We start from the raw sequence: 23941 nt of genomic DNA on the forward strand, positions 1-23941 counted from the left end.
TATAACTGCAAGTTCTACCAGTTCTCAAACTATAGAATGTTTCAGAAATGCCAGGGAGCGGATTAAAAATGTTACTTTAATCTGACTCAGTTCTGGGGGGTAATCCAAAAAACACGTTTTTATCTAGACCCCCAGGTGGTCCTGACATAGGTGGCTGAATGAACTCCCCCCAGTGTGTTGTCATTGTACTTTCTACCTGTCTTTAACATTTTCCTACATATTCAACTGTATTATGATTAAAGTAATCTCTTCCCAACTTTGAGTTTATCTGGCAGAAAATTATAAAATCAGAACTTTTTTCCTCTATATTTTTCCAAAACTTGGAGAATTTTTAGTATAAAAGGAGTTATTCATTTGAGAATATTTAGAAAAAAAGATAATGCAGAAATAGGAAGTAGGGGTGTCTAGCCACCACAGAGAACCTAAGGATGTGAAGTAACTGTGGACCTTAGAATGACAGTCCTGAAGCTGTTACTCCAGTGGACATTGAGTTCTGGTATCCCCAAGAACCTACGTCCAGAGACTAAAAAGCCTAATCATGAGGCTGCAAGGGTCAGTGAAGACAGAAAGTATAAAATGAGCATGGGACAAGGAAAAATGATATGTTTTTAATGCATATGTTAATTTCAACAAAGTAGAACAATTTACCCTGCCAAAATTTTGGAGGAAGGAAATTCTAGAATTTGCTGATAAATATGTGTTAATAAAAGGGTATTTGTTGTATTATATATTACCATTGTAGGGCAGGAAAGACTTTCTTCTACCCTCTTAAGTTCTATGGCTGGTCTGATAATTAAACTGACAAAAGATAAATTAACAAGAGAAAAGCATACACATTTTACTTGATGTCAATATTTTTATGTATATATAGAGGCCTTTGTATATCAGAAATGAAGACCTAAAGAAGCAGATAGGTCTGAGAGCCTATATGCAATTTTAACAAAGAATGATAAATTTTTGAGTTGCAATAAGACAAAGAAAAAAGAAGTTTGGGTTGAGTGTGGTGGCTCATGCCTGTAATCCCAGCACTTTGGGAGGCTGAGGCGGGCGGATCACCTGAGGTCAGGAGTTTGAGACAAGCCTGGCCAACATGGCGAAACCCCGTCTACTGGCCGGGTGCGGTGGCTCATGGCTGTAATCCCAGCACTTTGGGAGGCTGAGACAGGTGGATCACGAGGTCAGGAGATTGAGACCATTCTGGCTAACATGGTGAAACCCCATCTCTACTAAAAATACAAAAAATTAGCTGGGCATGGTGGCACGTGTCTGTAGTCCCAGCTACTCGGGAGGCTGAGGCAGGAGAATCACTTCAACCCAGGAGGCAGAGGTTGCAGTGAGCCGATTGTGCCACTGCACTCCAGCCTGGGTGACAGAACAAGACTCTGTCTAAAAAAAAAAAAAAAAAACTGGGCTAGAGCAGTAAATCATGGGAAAGCAACTAGGAAATATAGGGGGAAACTAATGGAAGAGAAGGGTTATTTTAGTAAGTTGGTATGGATTCATCTTGCTGTTAACTCCCCATCTCAGGTGATAAAAATGTTCTGCTCTTCCTGGGACAGGAAAGGCACTTTTATTCTGGGAAATGTATGCCCTGCTTTGAAGTAGAAGCGGGAAGGTCAGAGAGCCCTTCCTGCATCTGCTGCTTCTCAATTGCCTTCAGCTCAAAATAACTAATATACCAAAGTGGCATAATTGGAGGTGGCATGTTCTGATCCCCTTAACCATTTATTAATTATTTGAAGTGTATAAAAGTATCAATCATATGTCATTATTTAATGAAGAAAAGAACAAATGCTTTGCTTCCACATAGGTATTATTAACAACAATTAATAAAGTGACTGTATCATAAATAAAGAAAAGATTATGACATTGAACCTGAGCACTTCCCAGGAGTATATCTGGGATAGAACCAGGATCAGAATTTGGCAGCTGAAGCAATTGGGTATTAATTCTTATGTCCAAAGTCATATAGCCATTGTGCCCAGGGCTGATTAGCTGCTCACAGGATTCAGAAATGTTTGAGAATTTAAAAAGAATTATAGTTATCTCTCAGTATCTCTAGGGGGTTGGTTCCAAGACCCCCTGCAGATACCAAAATCCAAGGATATTCAAGTTCCTTATATAAAATGATGTAGCATTTTCATATAACCTATACTTTAAATCATCTCTAGATTACTTAAAATATCTAATACAGTGTAAATGCTATGCAGATAGTTGTTTTACTCTATTGTTTAGGGAATAATGACAAGAAAAAAGGTCTGTACATGTTCAGTACAGGTGAAATTATCCTATATATATATATATATTTTTTTTTTTTGATTCATGGTTGGTTGAACCTGTGGATGTGAAATCTGTGGTTATGAGAGGCCAACTATAATTGATTCCAAAACAGAAAGAGAAACTATAAAAGATAAACTAATGAATGATTATTTAATGGTTACAAAATATAAAATTACACTGATTTTATTAATTTACTATTAATAAAATTTCATTCCATTTGTAACTTAGATTTACTCACTTGGCAAGAATTCCCAAGTATGTTTGATGATGTGTGATAAATCAGTCAATCATTCTATAGTACCAATCATAATCAAATCATTGAAGAGCAAAACTTATTAATGTTCCAAAATTTAAAGAAAAACTTGTTTATTATGGTTTATGGATGCAATAGGTTCATTTAAATATATTTGCTAAGTTGAAGAGATTGGGTCTTCAGAGAAAGAGAGCCTGGGTCCCCAGAGAACTTAAAATGGCCACGCTAGGTTCAATATTGTTTAGTGCTTCCATAATTATGGAAAGCATAATTATAGTACAAAAGAGTGGAATAAAAAAAACTACAACATTGGAAAAATATATATTTGTTTTGTTTCATTTTTTGTTTGTTTGTTTTTGGGACAGGGTCTTGCTCTGTTGCCAGGCTGGAGTGCAGTGGCAATCTCAGCTCGCTGCAGCCTCAACCTCCTGGGCTCAAGTGATCTTTCCACCTCAACCTTCCAAGTGGCCGTGACTACAGGCGTGTACCACTACGCCCCACTAATTTTTGTTTTTTTTTGTAGAGACGTGGTTTGGCCATGTTGCCCAGGCTGATCTCGAGCTTCTGGGCTGAAGGGATCTGCCTGCCCCAGCTTCCCAAAGTTCTGGGATTATAGGCGTGAGCCACCTTGTCAGGCTGAATAGTATTTTTTATAGTATGAAAGTAGCATCTGCAAAACCAGTCAGAATGGCGATTATTAAAAAGTCAAAAAAATAACAAATGCTGGCGAGGCTGTGGAGAAAAGGGATGTTTATACACCAATGGTGGGAATGCACTGTGGAAAGTAGTTTGGAGATTTTTCAAAGAACTTAAAACAGAACTACCATTCAACTCAGCAATCCCATTACTGGGTATATGCCCAAAAGAAAATAAATTGTTCTACCAAAAAGACATATGCACTTATATGTTCATTGCAGCACTATTCACAATAGCAAAGCCGTGGAATCAACCTAGGTGCCCATCAATGGTGGACTGGATAAAGAAAATGTGATATATATATATATATATATATATATATATATATATATATGCGCCATGGAATACAGCGCAGCCATAAAAAAGAACAGAATCATGTCCTTTGCAGCAATGTGGATGCTGTTGGAGGCCATTATCCTAAGTAAACAATGCAGGAACAGAAAACCAAATACTGCATGTTCTCATTTACAAGTGGGAGCTAAACACTGAGTATATACGGATATAAAGAAGGGAACAATAGACACTGGGGACTACTAGAGGCAGAAGGGAGGGAGAGGGATGTGGAATGTGGGGGAAAAACTACCTATTGGGTACTATGCTCAATACCTGGGTAATGGGATCATCCATAGCCCAAACCTGAGCATCATGCAGTATACCCATGTAACAAACCTGCACATGTACCTCCTGAATCCAAAATAAATAAATTAATTAATTAAAGTAGTATTTGTTCACTGTGGAATATTTTGACACAAACATTTTTAATCCAATGCAGAGATATCTACTGCAAATAGTGTTAAGTATATTTTTTAAAATTTTTGTATCTACATCCCTAAAACATTTCAAAGTATTAACTATTTCCTAATAATAACATCTGAATACCAGTTTTGCTTTATACTCTACTTACAGATTAATTTATACGAATATTAAGTGAGCCAATATTAAAACCAGAATTAGGCCCTGGTGTTGTGTATATCAAATTACAAAGATAGTTCTATATTTTTAGTCTCAGATGTGAGGATGATTCCCACGACAGCTTCAATTTCTCATCTGTATTCTGAACAACTAAACTACCTTGTAAGAAGACAAGCATATAGAGGAGTATTTTATAATAGTCAAATATCTTTTATCAGTCAGTGTATCAGTAATTATCAACAATCTTTTTGTTTTTTTAAAAACGTGGGGCTATTGATCTAATCTTTTTATATGGAAAAACACACTTTCTATACTTTCCTATTCTTCTACCTTCTCTTCTTTTTATTCAAATTATCTTCTGAATTTTGTTTTGTTTTGTTTTGTTTTAGACGGAGTCTTGCTCTGCGCCAGGCTGGAGTGCAGTGGTGCAATCCAGCTCACTGCAACCTCCGCCTCCTGGGTGCAAGCGATTCCCCTACCTCAGCCATCCTAGTAGCTGGGACTGCAGGTGTGCGCCACTACACCGGCTAATTTTTTTGTATTTTCGTAGAGACGGGGTTTCACTATGTTGGTCAGGATGGTCTCGATCTCCTGACTTCGTGATCTGCCCGCCTCGACTTCCCAAAGTGCTGGGATTAACAGGCGTGAGCCACTGCACCCGGCCCTATCATCTGAATTTTTTCATACCAAAGGAGTTGGTTGAAATTGGAGATTTAATCTATTTGAGCAGATGTATGTATACTCCACTTTATCCAAGAGCTACTGCTCAGAATTCTAGCTCAGATTCATGAACAACCAAAATAACAACACAACTAAATGCCCTGCTGATACCTGTCTAATCCTCACACTGGTATTATTATATAATGATGACGTTGAAAGATTTAAAAATATATATTTAAGAAGAGAAACTCATGACCTCATAGGTCTTTCATGTCTCTAAGTATTTTTTTATGCACAGCCCGAGAAAGTGCTGCCTTTCAGAGATAAAGATAACAACACTGATTCTACTTTATTCCTTCAGTTACTTCTCTAATAGAGATGATAAAAGATATGAAAACAAAAATGTTAGCACAATCCTGGTGTACATATATCCATTAATATGAACACATTAAGGGGCCATATTATATGAAGGCATATCTGGATTATTGTATTTTATTTTGATGTTGCACTTGAAGAGGAGTGTTGACAAGGCAGTGTGATAATACCAGCTCCATTTATCTGATTCAATCCCATAAACCTTTATTGAGGACCTTCCTTGTGCCAGTCCTTGACTAGGCCTCACTAATATAAGGATGAACAAGACAAATAGGGATCCTGTATTCAAAAAGCTCACATTTCAACAGGAGAAATAGATATACAACAAGAAACTGTGAGTGTGATATGTATTACAAAGTGAAAGTAGGAGCTTATATATAGGGGATTTAGCCTAGTCTTAAGACTATGAGGAGGTACCCATAAGGAATTAAAGTTAAATGGAATCTTGAAGTATGAATGGATATTAGCCTGGGGTGTGGGAGGAGGCAGTATTCTAGGCAGAGATGACAGCAGATATAAATACAAAAAGTCAAGATAAAAATGGAAAGATTTCTCATTTGCTTGAGCATAGAATAAAAGGGAGAGGGTAGAAATGAGGCTGGAGAAGTCGGCAGGACCAGATTGTGGGGACACCATATAAGCCACCTTAAAAATTTCAAACTTAGACTTGAAAGACATGCATAACGTCCTTTAATACTTACCACACGTGTATGAGGTAGGTCCTATTATTATTTCCATTTTAGATATGAGGACCCTGAGATTCCAAGAGTTACGTGAATTTTCTGAGCTTCTGTAGCCAGTAAGTAGCAGAGCTCAGAATAAAATTCAGGCTGTCTAGGTCTAGACCACTCTCTCAATTGCATGGATCACAAACTCAAATGCCTTCTGCTGGGCGTAGAACAATTAACAGTGATTGAGATATTTACAAATAGGTGAATTTAAACCCTCTTGATGGTATACTACCTTATTCCAGCTCTTTGGGCAAATGAGAGCCCAGTGTTGCCAAGACATTATAATTTTTCAAGAGAGGCTGGTAAATCTGTATTATCATGGAAATCTTAGTTTAAAATGTTGTTAACTAATGACAATTTTTAAACAACTGTATACCTTCATTGAAGGCAGTGGGGTGGACTACAGACAATACATGACTTTTCCAATTAAAATAGTGAAAATGCTAGAGATATATAAGAACTATCTTTTATGGTACACTGTGTGTTTATACAAGAAGCAGAAACTCATAGAGGCCAAAAATGAAATTAAAGCAGAACCCTACCTAGTGGTGTCAGGGGTGAGGGACAAGGTAACATGGGCCAGCTTTTCTCTATAGGATTCTGCCCAGTCCTAGATATTTTGAAATTCTACCTTGACAGCTACAGAGGCAGCGTTGAGGAAACAGAAGGTAAAGCCTAGTCTATTTGGGTGAAGAGTCTGAAAAGAGACACCTGCATAGACATGGGACCTCTAAGGACCCTTCAGTGAATGGATGAGTAAGCAGTAAGATCAGCAGACCATGAGGAAGCCAGTCAATTTCCATCCTGGTGTGGGGAGGAAAAAAATACATTGCATATTAGAAAATACAATTCAGTCTTCATGGAGGTTTGTAGTCATTTTTCATGGAAGCTGTGTGTTCTGAAAAACCTCAAGAGGAAGATTTAAAGTAGTGCCAATGTATATTGCCCAAGGTAACTGGCAGATATAAACACAAATCCTTCAACAAAAATCTCAAAATAATCAATATAGACAAAGCCATTTACAATCAGCCATCTCAAATGCAAATGAAATTAAGACATGACAGCAAACAGTGACAAGAGATGGCAGAATTAGGCCTTAAAACTTCATCAGGAGGCTGAGGCAGGAGAATAGCCTTAACCCAGGAGGCAGAGGTTGCAGTGAGCTGAGATAGTGCCACTGCACTCCAGCCTGGATGACAAGAGCCAGACTCTGTCTCAAAAAAAAAAAAAACCCAAAAACTTCAGACACTGGAATTATCAAATGCAGATGATAAAATAATGTTTAATGTATTTGAAGAATAGAGAAGCTTGACTATATTAACAGAAATAATAAATATTATAATTTAAAATGTTTTCATTTTGGAATAAAATACAGAATTTAGTAAAGCTGAAAACTACATTGTTGAATTAGAAGACAAATTTGAAGATATTATTTAGAACTGCTTTCCTTTGTCCTGTCATTTCTCTACAAAGTTATTGTTCTTGGTTGAAGATGCTATATGAGCAGGAGTTTTAAGCTACTGCTTTGAGCTATTCTTTGTTGAGGCTTCTCCTGCATGATATGCACTGCACGTATTAATAATAATAATAATTAATTCTCTTGTGAATCTGTCTTTTACCATGAGGATCTGTCCCAACTAAGCACTAAGGATAGGTACAAGTAAATTTCTGCCTCCCCTACAGTGGGCAGTGGCATGGGGAGCCAGAGACACTATGTGTTCCTTCTGCTTGGGCGTGGGTGTCAGATCAACTGGTGCTCCCACAGCAATGGGTAGATGGAGGCTATGCAGGAGCTGGTACTCTCTATGGGAAAGGTCAAGACAGCTGGCAGTGCTGGTAGATGAGGCAGCAGCTTCGGTAGCCATGGAGTTATCAGGAGCTCCTCAAGAGCCATCAGCTGAGGACCCTGGAGGAGTCTTAGCAAATCTGAGAAACTACATTAATCGTGTCCAAAACAACTGGATATTCACATGGGAAACAGGACATCTGATCCTACCTCACATCTTAAAATAAAAAAATTAAGTTCAGATTAAGTAGAGGTCTAACCATGAATGGCAAAACTTTACAAGACAATTTAGGATTATGTGCTTATCTTGGGAAGAAGTGAAGGATTTCATAAACAGATCTCCAAGATACAAACCACAGAGCAAAGATTTCAAAATTTTATAACACTGAGGTTAAGAATCTGCTGTTCAGGCCAGGCATGGTGGCTCACGCCTGTAATTCCAGCACTTTGGGAGGCTGAAGCGGGTAGATCACCTGAGATCAGGAGTTTGAGACCAGCCTGATGAACAGGGAGAAACCCCGTCTCTACTAAAAGTACAAAAATTAGCTGGGCATAGCGGCCCATGCCTGTAATTCCAGCTACTCGGGAGGCTGAGTGAGGCAGGAGAATGGCTTGAACCCGGGAGGTGGATGTTGCAGTGAGCCAAGATTGCGCCATTGCACTCCAGTGTGGGCAACAAGAGAGAAACATCGTCTTAAAAAAAAAAAGGAATCTGCTGTTCATCGGGAGATGTCATTAAAAGAGGGAAAGAACAAACTACAAATTTGGGGGAAATATTGGCTACACATGTAACTGATAAAGATATTCGGCTATATTAAAAGTTTTTACAAGTCAGTTAGGAAAAGACAAATAATCCAGTAGAAAATGGGCAAATGATATTAATAGTATTTCAGAGAAGAAAACAAATGGCCTGTGAATGTATTTTAAAATGACCAAACAATATCTGAAATCAATTAATATAATACACCAAAAAATAAAAACCATATGATCATTTCAGTAGACACAGAAAATGCATTTGACAAAATTCAACACCCTTTATGATAAAAACTCTCAATCAACTAGAAGTAGAAGGGAAATTCCTCAATCTGATTAAGGGCATCTATGAAGAACAGCTTTTGTCATACTTAATGGTAAAAGATTGGTTGCATTCCCCTTAACATCAGGAACAAGAAAAGAATGTTGGTTTTTGCTACTTCTATTTAACTTTGTACTGCATGTTCTAGCTAGGTCAATTAGGCAAGAAAATAAAATAAAAGGCATCCAGTTGGAAAATGAAGAAGTAAAACTACCTCTATTTGAAGATGACATAATCTTGTATTTAGAAAATCCTACGGATTCCACTAAAAAATTATTAGAACTAATAATAAGTGAGTTCAGCTAGGTTGTAGGACACAGATCAACATACAAAAATCAATTGGATTTATAGATAGTAACAATAAACAAACAAAATAAAATTAAACAATTCCATTTAAAATAGCATCAGAAGAACAAAATATTTAAGATTAAAATACTTGTACATTAATAGAAGTATAAAATTTATACTCTGATATTACAAAACCTTCTGGGTTTTTTGGTGGAAAGGTGGCCAAGATCTTGCTCTGTCACCCAGGCTAGAGTGCAGTGGTGTGATCACGGATTACTGCAGCCTCGACTTGCTGGGCTCAAACGATCCTCCCACCTCAGCACCTCCAAGTAGCTGGGACTACAGGCACGTGCCACTGTGCTGATTTGTTAAAAAATTTTTTTGTAGAGATGGGTTCTCACTATATTGCCCAGACTGGTCTTGAACTCCTGGGCTCAAACGATCATCCCACCTCAGCACCTCCAAGTAGCTGGGACTACAGGCATGTGCCACTATGCTGATTTGTTAAAAATTTTTTTGTAGAGATAGGTTCTCACTATATTGCCCAGGCTGGTCTTGAACTCCTGGGCTCAAGCAATCCTCCCACCTTGGCCTCCCAAAGAGCTGGGATTACAGGCATGGACCATTGCAATGTGCCACAAAACCTTATTGAAAAACATTACAGAATACCTAAATAAATGAAAAGACATTCTGTGTTCACAGAATGGAAGACTTAATATTGTAAAGGTGGCAGACTGTATTCCCCAAATTGATTTACAGATTCAATGCAATCCTTATCAAAATTCCAGCTGGTTTCTTTACAGAAATTGACAAGCTGAACCTAAAATTCATATGGAAATTCAAAGGACCTTGGATAGTCAGAACAATCTTGTAAAAGAAGATTCCAGATGAAAATGGAAATCTGGAAAATTCATACCTCCCAATTACAAAACTTACTACAATGCTGCAGTAGTCAAAACAGTTTTGTACTGGCATAAAGAAAAACATATAGGCCAGGCGCAGTGCCTCCTGTCTGTAATCCCAGGACTTTGGGAGGCCGAGGCGGGTGGATCCAGTGAGGTCAGGAATTCGAGATCAGCCTGGCCAACATGGCAAAACCCCATCTTTACCAAAAATACAAAAATTAGCCAAGTGTGGTGGCAGGCACCTGTAATCCCAGCCTCTCAAAAAGCTGAGGCACAAGAATCGCTTGAACCAGGTAGGTGGAGGTTGCAATGAGCCAAGATCGCACCACTGCAATCCAGCCTGGGCACAGAGCAAGACTCTGTCAACAAAAAAAAAGAAGAAAGAAGAAGAAGAGGAAGAGGAAAGAAAGAGAGAGAGAGAAAGAAAGAGAGAAAGAGAGAGAAAAGAAAGAAAGAGAAAAGAAAAGAAAAGAAAAAAGAAAAGAAAGAGGAAGGATGGAAGGAAGGGAGGAAGGGAAGGGAAGGAAGGAGGAAGGAAGGAAGGAAGGAAAAGAAAGACATATAGATCAGTGGGATAGAATTGAGAGTCCAGAAATAAGTCCTCACATTTAGGGTCAATTGATTTTCAACAAGTGTGCTAAGATAATTCAACGAGAAAAAAATAGTCTTTTCAAGAAATGGTGCTGAGACAACTGGAGATCCACATGCAGAAGAATGAAGTTGGACTCATACCTAACACTATATACAAAATTTAAGTCAAAATAAATCTAACCTGAGAGCTGAAATTATAAAATTCTAGAAAGAAAACATAAGCAAAAATCTTCATGACTTTGAACATGGCAATGATTTCTTAGATATGACACCAAAAAGACAAGCACCAGAAGAGAAGAGATAAATTGGACATCCTCGAAATTTAAAACTTTTGTCTTTCAAAGAATACCATCAAGAAAGTGAAAAGACAACCCACCAAATGGCAGAAAATGTTTGTGAATTCTATATCTGATGAGACGTGTATGTAAGACATATTACAAACTCTTACTATTTGACAATAAAGAGACAACCCAATTTAAAAGTGGGCAAAGGATCTGAATGGGCATATTTCCAAAGAAGAAGTACAAATGGCCCATAATCACATGAAAGGATACTCAACATCACTAGCCACAATGGAAATGTAAATCAAAACCAAATTGAGCCATCACTTCACATGGAATTACTATAATCAAAAGACAGATAAATTGGTGAAGATATGGAGAAAGTGAAGCCCTCATACAACACTGGTGGGTATATGAAATGGTGCAGCGACTTTGGAAAATAGTCTAGCAGTTCCTCAAGAGGTTAAACATAGAGTCACGACATGACTCAGCAATTCCACTCCTAAGTGTATAGCCAGAAGGAATAAAAATATATATCCACACAAAAATATGTACATGAACGTTCATGGCAACATTATTCATTATAGCTAAAAGTAGAAACAATCTATGTGTTGTATTTCTTTATAACATTCAAATGATGAATGGATAAATAAAATGAGGCATATCCGTACAATGGAAGATTATTCAGCAGTAAAGAAGAAGGAAGTACTGGTATGCACTAAAACATGAATAAACCTTAAAAACTTTATGGTAAGTTGAAGGAGCCAGTCACAAACAACCACATATTGTATGATTCCAGCTATAGGAAATGTCCACAGTAAGTAATCTATAGAGACATAAAGTCATCAGGGCAGAGGAACTTGAGGGGGACTGAGAAATAACTGCTAATGGGTACAGGGTTGCTCTTGGGGGTGATGAAAATATTCTAAAATTGTTTGTGATGGTTGCACAGCCTGCATAAACTAAAAGCCATTGAACTGTATACTTTAAATGAGTGAATTGTAAGGTAGACGAATTATATCTTAATGAAGTTATAAAAAATAAAAAATAAAAAGTGCTCAACCTCGGCTGGGCGCGGTGGCTCATGCGTGTAATCCCAGCACTTTGGGAGGCCGAGGTGGGCGGATCACCTGAGGTCGGGAGTTCAAGACCAGCCTGACCAACATGGAGAAACCCTGTCTCTACTAAAATACAAAATTAGCCGGGTGTGGTGGCACATGCCTGTAATTGCAGCTACTAGGGAGGCTGAGGCAGGAGAATCGCTTGAACCTGGGAGGCAGAGGTTGCAGTGAGCCAAGATTGCGCCATTGCACTCCAGCCTGGGCAACAAGAGCAAAACTCTGTCTCAAAAAAAAAAAAAAAAGTGCTCAACCTCATTCAATACCAGATGGATGCAAATTAAAAACAATGTTATAGTATTTTACTGTAGGCAGGTGGGAACAATTAAAATTTTGGAAAATACTAAGTGTTAGCATGATCACAGAACAATGAGAACTCTCATCCACTTCTTAGGGAAGTGCAAATTTGGATCGCCACTATGGAAAATACTTTAGCAACAACTTGTATACTCTATGACCCAGCAAATACCCTTTCTTGCACTAAACATGAAGAGACATGTAATAATATTTATAACAGATCTTTTTTTTTTTTTTTTGAAATGGAATCTCACTCTCGTCACCCAGGCTGGAGTGCAATGGTGCAATATCAGCTCACTGCAACCTCCGCCTCCTGGGTCAAGCAATTCTACTGCCTCAGCCTCCCCAGTAGCTGGGATTACAGGTGCCTGCTGCCATGCCCGGCTAATTTTTGCATTTTTAGTAGAGATGTGGTTTCACCATGTTGGCCAGGCTGGTCTCAAACTCCTGGCCTCAGGTGATCCACCCTATACCAGCTCTTTTAATTACAGCAAAACACTGAGTACAACCCAAACGTCTGTCAGCTGTGGAACGGATTCAATTGGCTAGGACGGGGCAGACATCTTATTAATTGTTCCATCAAAACTGCCCACAACAGGGGAGAGGACATTCTGCAAATAGAAATTGAGTGCTATTCGAGCAGGGAAATGGCTAGAAAGAAACACCACTACAACAAGACTAATACCCTCTACACATCAGCTTTTGTTTGTTTTTATTCAATTGGTTCAGAATCCAGAGGCAATATGGGTATGATTACTTAGTGTGGAGTCCTAATTAGCGAAAATGAGTTAGGCTGGTGGGGCTGAGGAGAAAGCAAAACAAGAAAGCAGATAAGCTATGTCGGACTTTCTTCACGGCCTAGGACACATGGCCCTCCTGAGCAAATAACTCACTATCGTTTTGCACCCATCTTATCACCAGACACCTGCAAGTTAGCTCACTGCAACCTTGGCACTATCAGTACTGCACAAAGCTCTCCTCAGCACAAGCATTATTCTATAAAATCCCTAGCAAGTCTTTGTTTCTTTGCAGTCAGCTCCTCTTGTGCTAATTCTGCCCATTGCAACCTTGCAACATATTTTCTTACTTTCTCTAATGAATCTGCCTTTCTTTACCTACAACTGTCTTTTAAAATTTTTTTACTCCCATGCCACTGGCCCAGATAATTGCCATTCACCCACAACATTTAACTCCCTTTAACTCCTGAAAAGCAATGCACCCTATTATGAGCTTAGCCGTGAGCCCAGATTCACAGAAAGAAAGTGAAGATAAAGCAAAATGGGGGCTTGGCAGTTGAGTGTTTTCCAGGGTACAGCATGGGACTCTGTGTGGTGAAGGACACTCTGCCCCTTGCTCTGCGGAGAGGAAAAGTCACAGTAGGCAGAAGGCAGATCAGTCTCCATTTGTCCCTCACTACAGTCTCCTGCCCCACAGAACCAGGCATGGGGACAGAGGAAGCCAATGGACCCTCCATTCTCAATCTGGTTCAGAACCTGCATTTAACCAGGCCCCCACCAGCTCACCCGGGAGCTGGGAGAAAACCAAACTGATTCCTCTCATTTTCATTCCTGTCCCTTTAGGCACAGAATATAGACACTGTCTATCTTCCTTAATGCTGAGAAAAGCACTTATGTCTTTCATCTGAAGTGGGTTCCCAGCTTCTTTTGCCACTAAATCATTTATTTTTTAAGTGTGACATTTACCCAGTTGCCCTTTCTATTAATAAATCCTCACTGTCACACCATCTTCCCAGGTGACACTGATGTCATTGATTTGCTCCCTCACTACAGCTTCTTTTTCTAGCCATGATACTTAAAATCATCTCAGGAGTCCCCCCTCAAGCTCTCTCTCTTCTCCCACCATCAACTCTAAACAAATCTCAGTGTCAGTTGAAGGATTTCATGTCCTGAATCTGCAAACCAGGATCATCTGGCAGCACTGTTTACCTAAAGTGATTAAAACCCATGAATCATGATGTTTATACAAGTTTTTCTTCCTTGTAAAAAGGCAAGAGGCAACGCTATAGACCACAGACGGAAGGAATGTTTTGTTTTTTGAAACTGAGTCTTATTCTGTGGCCCAGGCTGGAGTGCAGTGGCACAATCATGGCTCACTGCAGCCTTGATGTCCCCATGCTCAGGTGATCCTCCTGCCTCAGCCTCCCAAGTAGCTGGGACTATAGGCATGCAGCACCACACCCAGCTAATTTTTTTTAAAAAATGTTTTTGTAGAGACAGGGTTTCACCATGTTGCCCTGGCTGGTCTCCCACTCCTGGGCTCAAGTCATCCACCTGCCTTAGCCTCCCAAAGTGCTGTGATTACAGGCGTGAGCAACCTTGCCTGGTGAGAAGGAGTTTTAAGTGTGTCTGCAGAAATATATATTTTTAATTTAGTAAAGTAATGCTTCAGCAATTCAAGTGTATTTCACCCTTTAAAACAAAGTTAAACCATTTAGTTGATAAATGTGATCAGTTTTATGTATAATACATACTTATTCTCACTTGATATAGTCCTCAGTTGATTCAGCTGAAGAGTTAAAAAGCCTTTTAATTTTCTACCACTTAAAGTTTGTTTGGTCACCATTCATGTCCGTATTTAATAGAGTTAACCTATCATAATATACATCATTCTCTCTGGGGGAATCCCTGAAAATTCATTTTTACTATGAAGGTTATTATATTTATTTTATTTATTTTGCATTGCTTGCTTTTAAGAAGTAGTTGAGATGGCTTAAAAAAATATGCAACTACAATAGTAAAGAAAAAAATCAAGCTCCCCACCCCCCACAAAAAAACCCAGGAAACAAATATGCTAGCTTAGTAGCTACATTGAGCAACAGCTTTAGCTCTGAGCTTCCTAGCCGCCAAAGTAAAAAGGGAAACAGAAACCATACCAACACTTCGAATTTAAAAAATAGATTCAGTTTTATTTTGCAACAAAAGTCTAAAATGAGTTTATCAAAAAGGAAACATTCATTCATTTGAAAATCACTTTTTAAAATGCTTACAATGAGCCAAATTGTGTCTGAAATACTAGGAATACAATGTTAAACATTTCAAAAACGGTCTGTGCCCTCATAGACCTTAGAGTCTACTGGATGAGACAGAGGATAAACAAGTCATCAAATAAAAAATATATAAATTACAATTATAGGAGTGTACAGGGAACTAAGAAAATAACCAGGGTCCAGGAAGACCTCCCTGAGGGGGTGACATTCTAAAAACAAGAGATAAAATGTAGTTTCTGCTTATAGATAAGATTCAGGGAGAACAGGGCCTGGAAGTATTCCTACGAAAGATCTGATTTTCAAGTGCAGAAACCCAAAGTGTGCTTGTCAGTTAATCTGCTTAGGAATGTTACAGAGGGGCAAATTGGAATATAGGCTCCAGATTTGTAATTAATATGCTTAAGTAAGAGCCCACTGAGATAGAGTCAAGGAAGGCACTTAATGTGAGAGTGGCTATAAGTTAGTTTTACCTAAAGAGGTAGCAGAATCTGTTCCAGGAGTCCTTAAGGATACATGCCTACCTATCTGGGCTTATGTGACCTTGTCTCAACTCAAACGTTAAGAAAAATGGTCTAATTTGGGTAACTTTCAGCCTCATAATTGCCTCATACTCCTATTTAAGTAAAAGAGAGACATGTAAGTAATGCAGTTTTATGATGGAAACATAGTTTATTCAGAGTCATATTTAAAGTTTGAATAATTTAAAGACTGAAAACCCAGAAGAAAGTTATCTGAAATGTCCTTATTCTTTTCTAGTCTTCTGAGACAGAGTGGTTAGTAGAGGAGATTGCAAGAGAAGAGGCAGAAAAGGAGGAAAAATGGGAGAGGGAGAAGGGTGAGAGAGTGAGAGCCTCTGCTTAAAAGGAATATGATGTTGAAAAAAACTGACAGGCAGAAAACAAGCCTAAGTGCTGTTGCTATGGAAACATTGTACCATCTGTGTTCTTGCCTACCCTACACCAAAGGGTTATATAACCTAGTAACCAGCTAAAAGTTAAAATGGACCTTACAGTGAAACCAGTTATTTTTATTATTTTTTAAAAGGGTGACTCTAAGTAAAAATAAAACACTGCACTACTGTTCTTTCTGTCTACCTCCAGGAGAAGCTTTCTAAGATGCAAGAACAATTTCCCTTGAGGGCATCAAGAAATATCTGAAGTACTGCAATTGCCCTGATTTTTAATCCTCAAGAGGCTATTGTTTTTATTTGATTTATAACGAGGCAGTGTCACAGCAGTTGATATTTGCTTTCAATTGCAATTGATTTACAATTAAACCAAAGGTAGACTAAAACACAAGGTCTGTCCTCCACAAAGACTTCTCACTTGCCAAAAATAAATCTAATTTTTCTCAAATGTAGGAGCAGGCAAAGGATGCGCCTTTCCAGTCTCCCTTGCACAGAGGTGAGAATATTCTAAACTGATATCACTCACTAGAAGTAGAGCTTTCTTGTGCAACGTCACAGGATCTGGGATAAGAATTGTGGTATCACAGCTGGCAGGAAAATCAGCCCTGAATCAGCCCACCATTGTGGCCCACAATGATATATTAGAAATGCCAGGTCATAGATAAGCAACTTTCAACTACGACAAGCAAGAATTAGGCAGGTGCTGGGTTTTGCCAGCATTTCATCCCCAGACCACTTTTCTTTTTTCTTTTTTGTTTTGAGACAGAATCTTGCTCTGTTACCCAGGCTGGAGTACAGTGGTGCAATCTCAGCTCACTGCAACCTCCACCTCCTGGGTTCAAGCAATTCTCCTGCCTCACCCTCCCAAGCAGCTGGGATTACAGGTGCGCGTTACCACACCTGGGCAATTTTTGTATTTTTAGTAGAGATGAGTTATCGCCATGTTGGCCAGGCTGGTCTTGAACTCCTGACCTCAGGTGTTCTACCTGCCTCGGCCTCCCAAAGTGCTGGGATTACAGGCGTGAGCCACCACGCCTGGCCTGACCACTTTTCAATGTCTGTAGAGAAATACTGTTAGGGTCCCCTGAAAGCCAATCTAAGTCTGTATTTCCAGCCTTCACTCAGTTCTTCTTTGTAAATATCCTGCAGGCACCTCAAAATCCACATGGACAAAGGTTAATTCAACTTTCCCACATCCTATTACATGTTCTACTTTCCCTATTCCAGTTAAAATCCAAGCTAGGAAGTTCAAAGCCACCTTCCACTTTCTCACCTCCAAACACTTTTGCCATGTAGCTTATGTGAGTTGTCTCGATTTAGCTTGTTTTTTTCTCATTTATCAGGTAAGCACCTTTCTTAAATTTGTGGTGAAGGTCAAATGAGAAAGCATGTTGGAGAATGTTCCAAACAGTGCCTTGACAGGAGCAAACGCTCAGGAAACAGTGGTGGTTTCATGATGATCCCTTGCCAGAAGACTGCATGGACTCCTAATCCATCTTCCTGGGGGCAGTACCTCCCCATTTTTTCCCCTTGGTTATTCTCTTCTCTCTTCAGGGCCCCAGTTGTGCACAGTATATAATCATTTGTCTGCAGAACTTTTCCTGTCCTTGCCTCATCATTGTGTGTTGAGTGTGTTGGGGGCAGATAACTTGTCTTTTTAGTTCACTGGTTTCCAGATGGAGAGAAGGCACATCTGAGCACACACAGAAACATGGGGAACCGCATCCCACTACACTAGCAGCTGACTGAGATGACTAGACCCTGGACTTTGAGCAGATGCCATAATAGGATGTGCCCGTGGAGGCGGTTGATGATTAGTGCAGTTTACATGTGAGAGGAATGCGAATTATTTTAGGTAGGAGGTGGAGTGTACTAGATGGTTTCCAAATATGGCTGCATCAGTATCTCCAATCCCACAACTCTTTGCAAGGTGATTTTGCCACTTGTCTCCTTAAAAGGTGGAGTCTAATTCATCTCCCCTAGAATTTGGGCTGGCTTTGTTACTTGCTTTGACCAATAAAATACGGCAGGTCTTATGGCTTCTGCTTAAAGTTTTTAAAGTTCTGTTTTCACACTCTTGAAATGCTCCCTCTAAGAATTCTGCCTTGAGACTGCCATACTGTAAGAAAGCCCAAGCTGGCTATGCGGAGTAACCACATGCTATAAGATCAATATGCTGTGGTTGACAGCTCCGGGTGAGCCCAGCCTGCAGCCCATCTGCTCTAGGGGTGTAGCCACATGAATGATGTCAGAAGAGATCACAGAAGAACCACCCAGGCAACCCACACAATTGTGAGGAAAAAAAATTATTGAACTATTAATCATGTAAATGAATACCTTCATGATCCAGTTTTATTTCAGTTTAGTTTCCCACTCCCTGTTCTTGAAGTTGCTTCAGGAACTATTTAGACAAAGATTAAGAAGATCATAACTTTCTTCACAGAGTATTATCCAAAACCACCTTGAATTTTTAAAGTTGTGGTAAATCTGTAGTCTTTACAGTACATTTTTAAATCTGGAGAATGAATTCAATGAATGCCTAATTTCAAATTTTAAGTGCCAATATGAAATCTGTAGCATGGGAATTCAAGAAGTTGGACAAACATTTTTATTATCAATTGACTGCTAGTGCAGTATTCAACACATGAAAGTCAAAATGTGAGTTTTGCAAAGAAAACTTTGAACATGTGCTGTTAATCTAGTCAGTTTGATTAAACACATTCAAAAGAGAAATTATCCCTGCTGAGTATATCAGGAAACAAACACAAGCGACTGAAGGCATTATGGTAGAGTTAGTTACCAGGAAGCAAATTTTGTCTGGAAATATAACACTCTTAGTAGAAATTTTTACTTTGCTCATTTCTTTCTGAGCATTCAACTGTCAACTTAATTATATTTTAATTTCCAATGAAAATAATCCAGAGGTTTCTAATTTAAAATAATAATATAATGAAATTTTATAGTACTAGTAGATTGGTCATCTAAACGTGGCTCTGCAAGTTGGGAAACTGACACTTAGGGGCAAAAAGGCTCTTTCTAGAGATGGGACATGGCCAGATGGAGTGGCTGACTAAGGAAGCACTCCCAAGCCACCTGGCACCCTGTTGATCTCTGGTGGGAATTGCAAGGCATCCAGCAAGAAAGGACTAGTTGGCCCTGCTTAGCCTCTGTGAATGCCTGAAGTCTTAGGGCAATACTTACATGAGATTTTTAGGTTTGGGGTGGTGGGACATGCATGACTAACTCTTCTTAGTCATAAACACACCTATAGCTACCTTCTTTTGTATTCTTATGTCTCTGAAAAATGTATTTTCTCCATATTGAGAGTTAGATACCCTTCCTGGAAGAATTTAGATTCTTCAACTATGCTTACATTAAATTTCTCGTACTATGGTGAACACTGCTGGGTAGTACAACTGGGACTAACACAGGTACCTCACAGAAAAACTGTTGGGCCCTTGGTGCCTGGCTGGCTGGCTGGCACACCCTTTAGAAGCCACGTGCTTTTTGGTTAAAATGTCACAGGTTACTGTGTCAAGGAAATTTGATCTTTGACGTTTTAGAAATCAAAAACCCACATTCCTACTTGATACAGTAATTTTTGTCATGTAAACTCAGGATAATTTCCTTTTTCTGGTGAGTTTATGTAAATTAACAATTTTTGTGATTTATTTATACATTAAGATCTGGATGGAAAGTCCTGCTAATAATATACATTGTATGAGTAATGCTATTACCTACCAGTGCATTCTTGCTTTCTTTCTTTTTTTTTTAGAAAACAATTTCAGCTTTAGACATTCATTATTTTCAAAATTAAACTTTGGGCTCCAGTTTTGAGATAGACATAAATATTTTTCCCCTGGTTGTTTAAAAGGAAAACATACTTTGCTTCTTTATTAGAATAGAAACACTCCTCCCAGTACATTTTTAGAATCCTTCAGACTTTTAAAGGGATGTTGCTGCTGACTTTGCTACCAGAACCCCATTTGCCTTTTCCCCCAGCAATAGTTTTATGAGAATATAAATAACCTGTTTCACAACGTTCCGTTTCTCACATAAGCCTTGTTTGGTTCCGAGGTCATTGTGATTTCAGTGGTTGTAGTTTGGTTCAGCTGGTCCTACAATTTTCTGCAGTTTGGAGCTTCCTATCTCCCACTGATTCCCTGTAGCTTCAAAACCACAGCCTTGCAATAGAGAATGAACAAATAAGAAAACTAGAAGTCTAGTGGCCAGATCCAGGGATGGAAAGCAGAGCCCTGGACTATTACACTCAAAATGCACAGCTGGGGAAACCACACATGCTGAGCTCCCAGTGTACCAGGCAGAAGGCAGAATTCTGGGCTCTTATTGCTTCCTTTTCTTCTACTTTCATTATCACCATCTCCCTCCCTTCTTTTAACCTACAGTCCTATTGCGTACTTACCCCATAGATCTATGGCATTGTTAGATGTTCCAGCCTTTCTTCAATTCTTCCCTTCCGTGCTGCCCCATCCTAATCCTATGGGGACTGCTGTACCCACTGCAGATGCACTGCCCCTGTATTAGTCTGTTCTCGTGTTGCTATAACTACTTGAGACTGGGTAATTTATAAAGAAAAGAGGCCAGGCACGGTGGCTCACGCCTGTAATCCCAGAACTTTGGGAGGCTGAGGCAGGCAGATCACCTGAGGTCAGGAGTTCAAGACCAGCCTGGCCAACATGGTGAAACCCCGCCTCTACTAAAAATACAAAAATTAGTCGGGCGTGGTGGCAGGCATCTGTAATCCCAGCTACTCCACAGGCTGAGGCAGGAGAATTGCTTGAACCCCAAGAGACAGAGGTTACAGTGAGCCGAGATCGCACCATTGCACTCCAGCCTGGAAGACAGAGCGAGACTCCATCTCAAAAAAAAGAAAAAGAAAAGAGGTTTAATCAGCTCATGGTTCCTCAGGCTGTACAGGAAGCATGGCTGGTGAGGCCTCAGGAAACTCACAATCATGGAGGAAGGTGAAGGGGAAGCAGGCACGTCTTACATGGCAGGAACAGGAGGAAGAGAGCTAAGGGGAAAGTGCTACACTTTTAAACAGGTCTCGTGAGAACTCACTCACTATCACGAAAACAGCAAGGGGGTAGTCAGCCCCCATGATCCAATCACCTCCTCTAACACTGAGGATTACAATTTAACATGAGACTTGCGTGGGGATACAGAGCTAAACCATATCAGCACCCTCCAGTGTTTCTTCAATTGGGAGGAAGAGAAGTAGCAGGAGAGGCCTCCCTGGCTTCCTAGAGGGACAGTCCCCAACAGCACCTGGACCAAGATGTACCAGGATCATCCCTCCAGTACAACTTGCTCCTTTAATCTAGATTCCTGTCTAATTGTTCATATATGAAAGTGTTATTTTCCACAGTGTAGATTCAGCATTAGCTTTCTGTAGACAAGAAACGTGTTTAACTCACTGTGTCGTACAAAGGGCTTGGCACATGGTAACTGTTTCAAGAAGTTCTGACTTAATAGGATGCAGAACTTCCTCCAAAAAGATTACAGTTCAACTGAGGGCAGTAACATGAGGCATTATAGTTTTATAAAGATTCCTAGAATGCCTCAGCAGTTATTATTCAGAGGCAAAAGTGACAAATAAAATTTTTGTTGCATGTTTTTCAGACTTCAACCCAGGAAGCTGGCTTCTCACCCTGCCTATAGGTGAGAACCCCCTGGAATGTTTTCTGAAACTACACATGTCCCACCTGCTTCATTCCCCTTACCACCAATTTTGATTCATTAGATATAGGACACAGTTCGAAACTAGGCAATGAAGTTGCCTAAGTGATTGTCTCATGCCTAGCAAGAGTACACTGGGTACACTGCCCCCACAGAATGCTGAAATGCAGAGCCCTATACTAACAATGTGGCAAAACTAATCCTTCCACACCCTGCAAAATTGCTGGGGAGGCTGTGGGTGTAGCACTCTATGGTCTTAACACATTGCCTCACAGCAGAACTGGAACCAGGCAGGATGGAGATTCAAGTTGATCATTTACACTAAACATACATTGACTGTTGGTGTTAGAGGTGCCTCCTCATTGGTAAGCAACAGAATTTTCCCTTGTGTGATAAGCTCCTTTTACATGCATGACATTGGACACTGAGGTATGTATTTGAGGCTGGTGTGCTGATAGTCAAAGTCATTAGGTATCATTGGCTGCAAAATGAAATTTTCTTAAGAGGAAAATGTATGTAAAGGGAAGGAAGAACGTACTATTTGAAAGATCTATGTTTGACTGTCTATTAGGCAAACATCCAGATGAGTTTGACTGGAAAAGGAGGAATGGTCATGCCTGATGCTGGCTTTGATCCAAGAATGTATCCTATCTTTCCAGACTCAGGGTCCTGACCTGCACCAGCCCTGCCCTCTCCCCTGCTGACAGGGGACTCTCTCAATTAGAGAAGTGTCTTTCTTTCGTTCCTCAGCTCCTCATGTGTCTGTCTGGCCTCATCCATCCCCAGCCCTACAGCATGGGTAAGTCAACAGAACTATCCGAGTTCTGTTGAGCTCAGACAGTTCTGAGTTCAAAAGAACTACTGCCATAGTTCTTTGGCAGTGGCAATTATTATTCGTTCATACACAGTAGATACAATAGCCATACTGATCCAAGCAATACATAGCTATATTCCCATTAGCTGTCAGGATTCCAAAACACCAAATCAGTCCTGTCTCAGCCTGGTCACCTTTATTATAAAGACAGTCATATTTTTAACTAATGAAGGAAATAGGCTTGTGAACACACAGTTAGATGAGGCTGGCTAACAGCCATTGCATTTAACTGACCAAAGAAGGCAGGCCATTCAAATCTCATTTTTCATGTATCCTAACAAATAGATTTATTATGGCATTTTTGCATATGGAAGGCATATTTCTAATGTCAAATTGAAAAATTTTAGAAATATCATTCTTCAACCTGTTATAGTTTTAGAGATATGCTGCTTGAGATAATGCCTGCTTTTCCACACACTGAGTTTACATTCGCTCCTTCAAATATTGCAAGACATTTTGCTGACATTTTTATCTGGAGAAAAGGAAGGCACACTATTACTATCCTATTTGATAGTGGTGAAAGATTCCAAAAAGGCAAATTGGGAGAATGAAATAGAAATTAGATGGAGGCCTCAAGTCTGTGGCTGCCACTAATTAGTCATATAACCTTGCATAGTCTCTTAACTCATTGAGCTCACTTTTCTCAGTCATACTTTTCTTTTCATTCAACATAATTTTTGGAATTATGTGCCATTGTTTAGAGTCAAAAGAGTCTCATAAATAAATTGCTTCAGGACTTCATGCTTTCGGCTTGGAAAGGTAGAGAGGTCTCATACCCTTGAAGCCAAAAGGAAGCTGCACCTGTGCCTGCCTTACGCACAACAGGGCCTGCTCTTATCTTCATAAATGCTCACAGCAGTTCATAAGTCACTAACATGATGAATATGGTCCTTTGTTATAGAAACAGATGTTTCTCATTATTCTTATTAGCTGCATTAAAATAAATCACCCTAGGGTTCAGTGAGGATCAAATCAAAAGGCTTGGACTTCACTTCATGGGAGACAAGTCACTCCAAAAGTAATTCAGACTGGTAGTTTCGACATTCACATTTAGGATCAAGTTTTACCTGATGCTCCTGATCTGGCTCCTCCCCTCTTGCCTCAGGGCAGGCTGAACATTTTTCTTAGTAACTGTGGTCAGTCCCATAACTTACATTGAACGTCCTGGCTGCACAGTCCCCATCCTTGTCCTTCCTGTTGCATAT

General features: G+C 39.6%; 1 protein-coding gene across 4 annotated transcripts in view, besides 1 other annotated feature; it reads left to right on the top strand.

The window, feature by feature from the left end:
• SH3BGRL2 (SH3 domain binding glutamate rich protein like 2) overlaps positions 1-23941 on the top strand; it is a 166023-nt gene that overhangs the window by 49269 nt on the left and 92813 nt on the right. The gene's annotated exons all lie outside the window — the stretch shown is intronic.
• Positions 22011-22305: a silencer, noted in NCBI's record as "tiled region #10526; K562 Repressive non-DNase unmatched - State 6:EnhF". NCBI's record gives its function as "represses a minimal TATA promoter and a strong SV40 promoter by Sharpr-MPRA in K562 cells {active_cell/tissue: K562}" and the evidence as "EXISTENCE:reporter gene assay evidence [ECO:0000049][PMID:27701403]".

This window comes from Homo sapiens, chromosome 6 (genome assembly GCF_000001405.40).
Source record: "Homo sapiens chromosome 6, GRCh38.p14 Primary Assembly".
Lineage (NCBI taxonomy): Eukaryota > Metazoa > Chordata > Mammalia > Primates > Hominidae > Homo > Homo sapiens.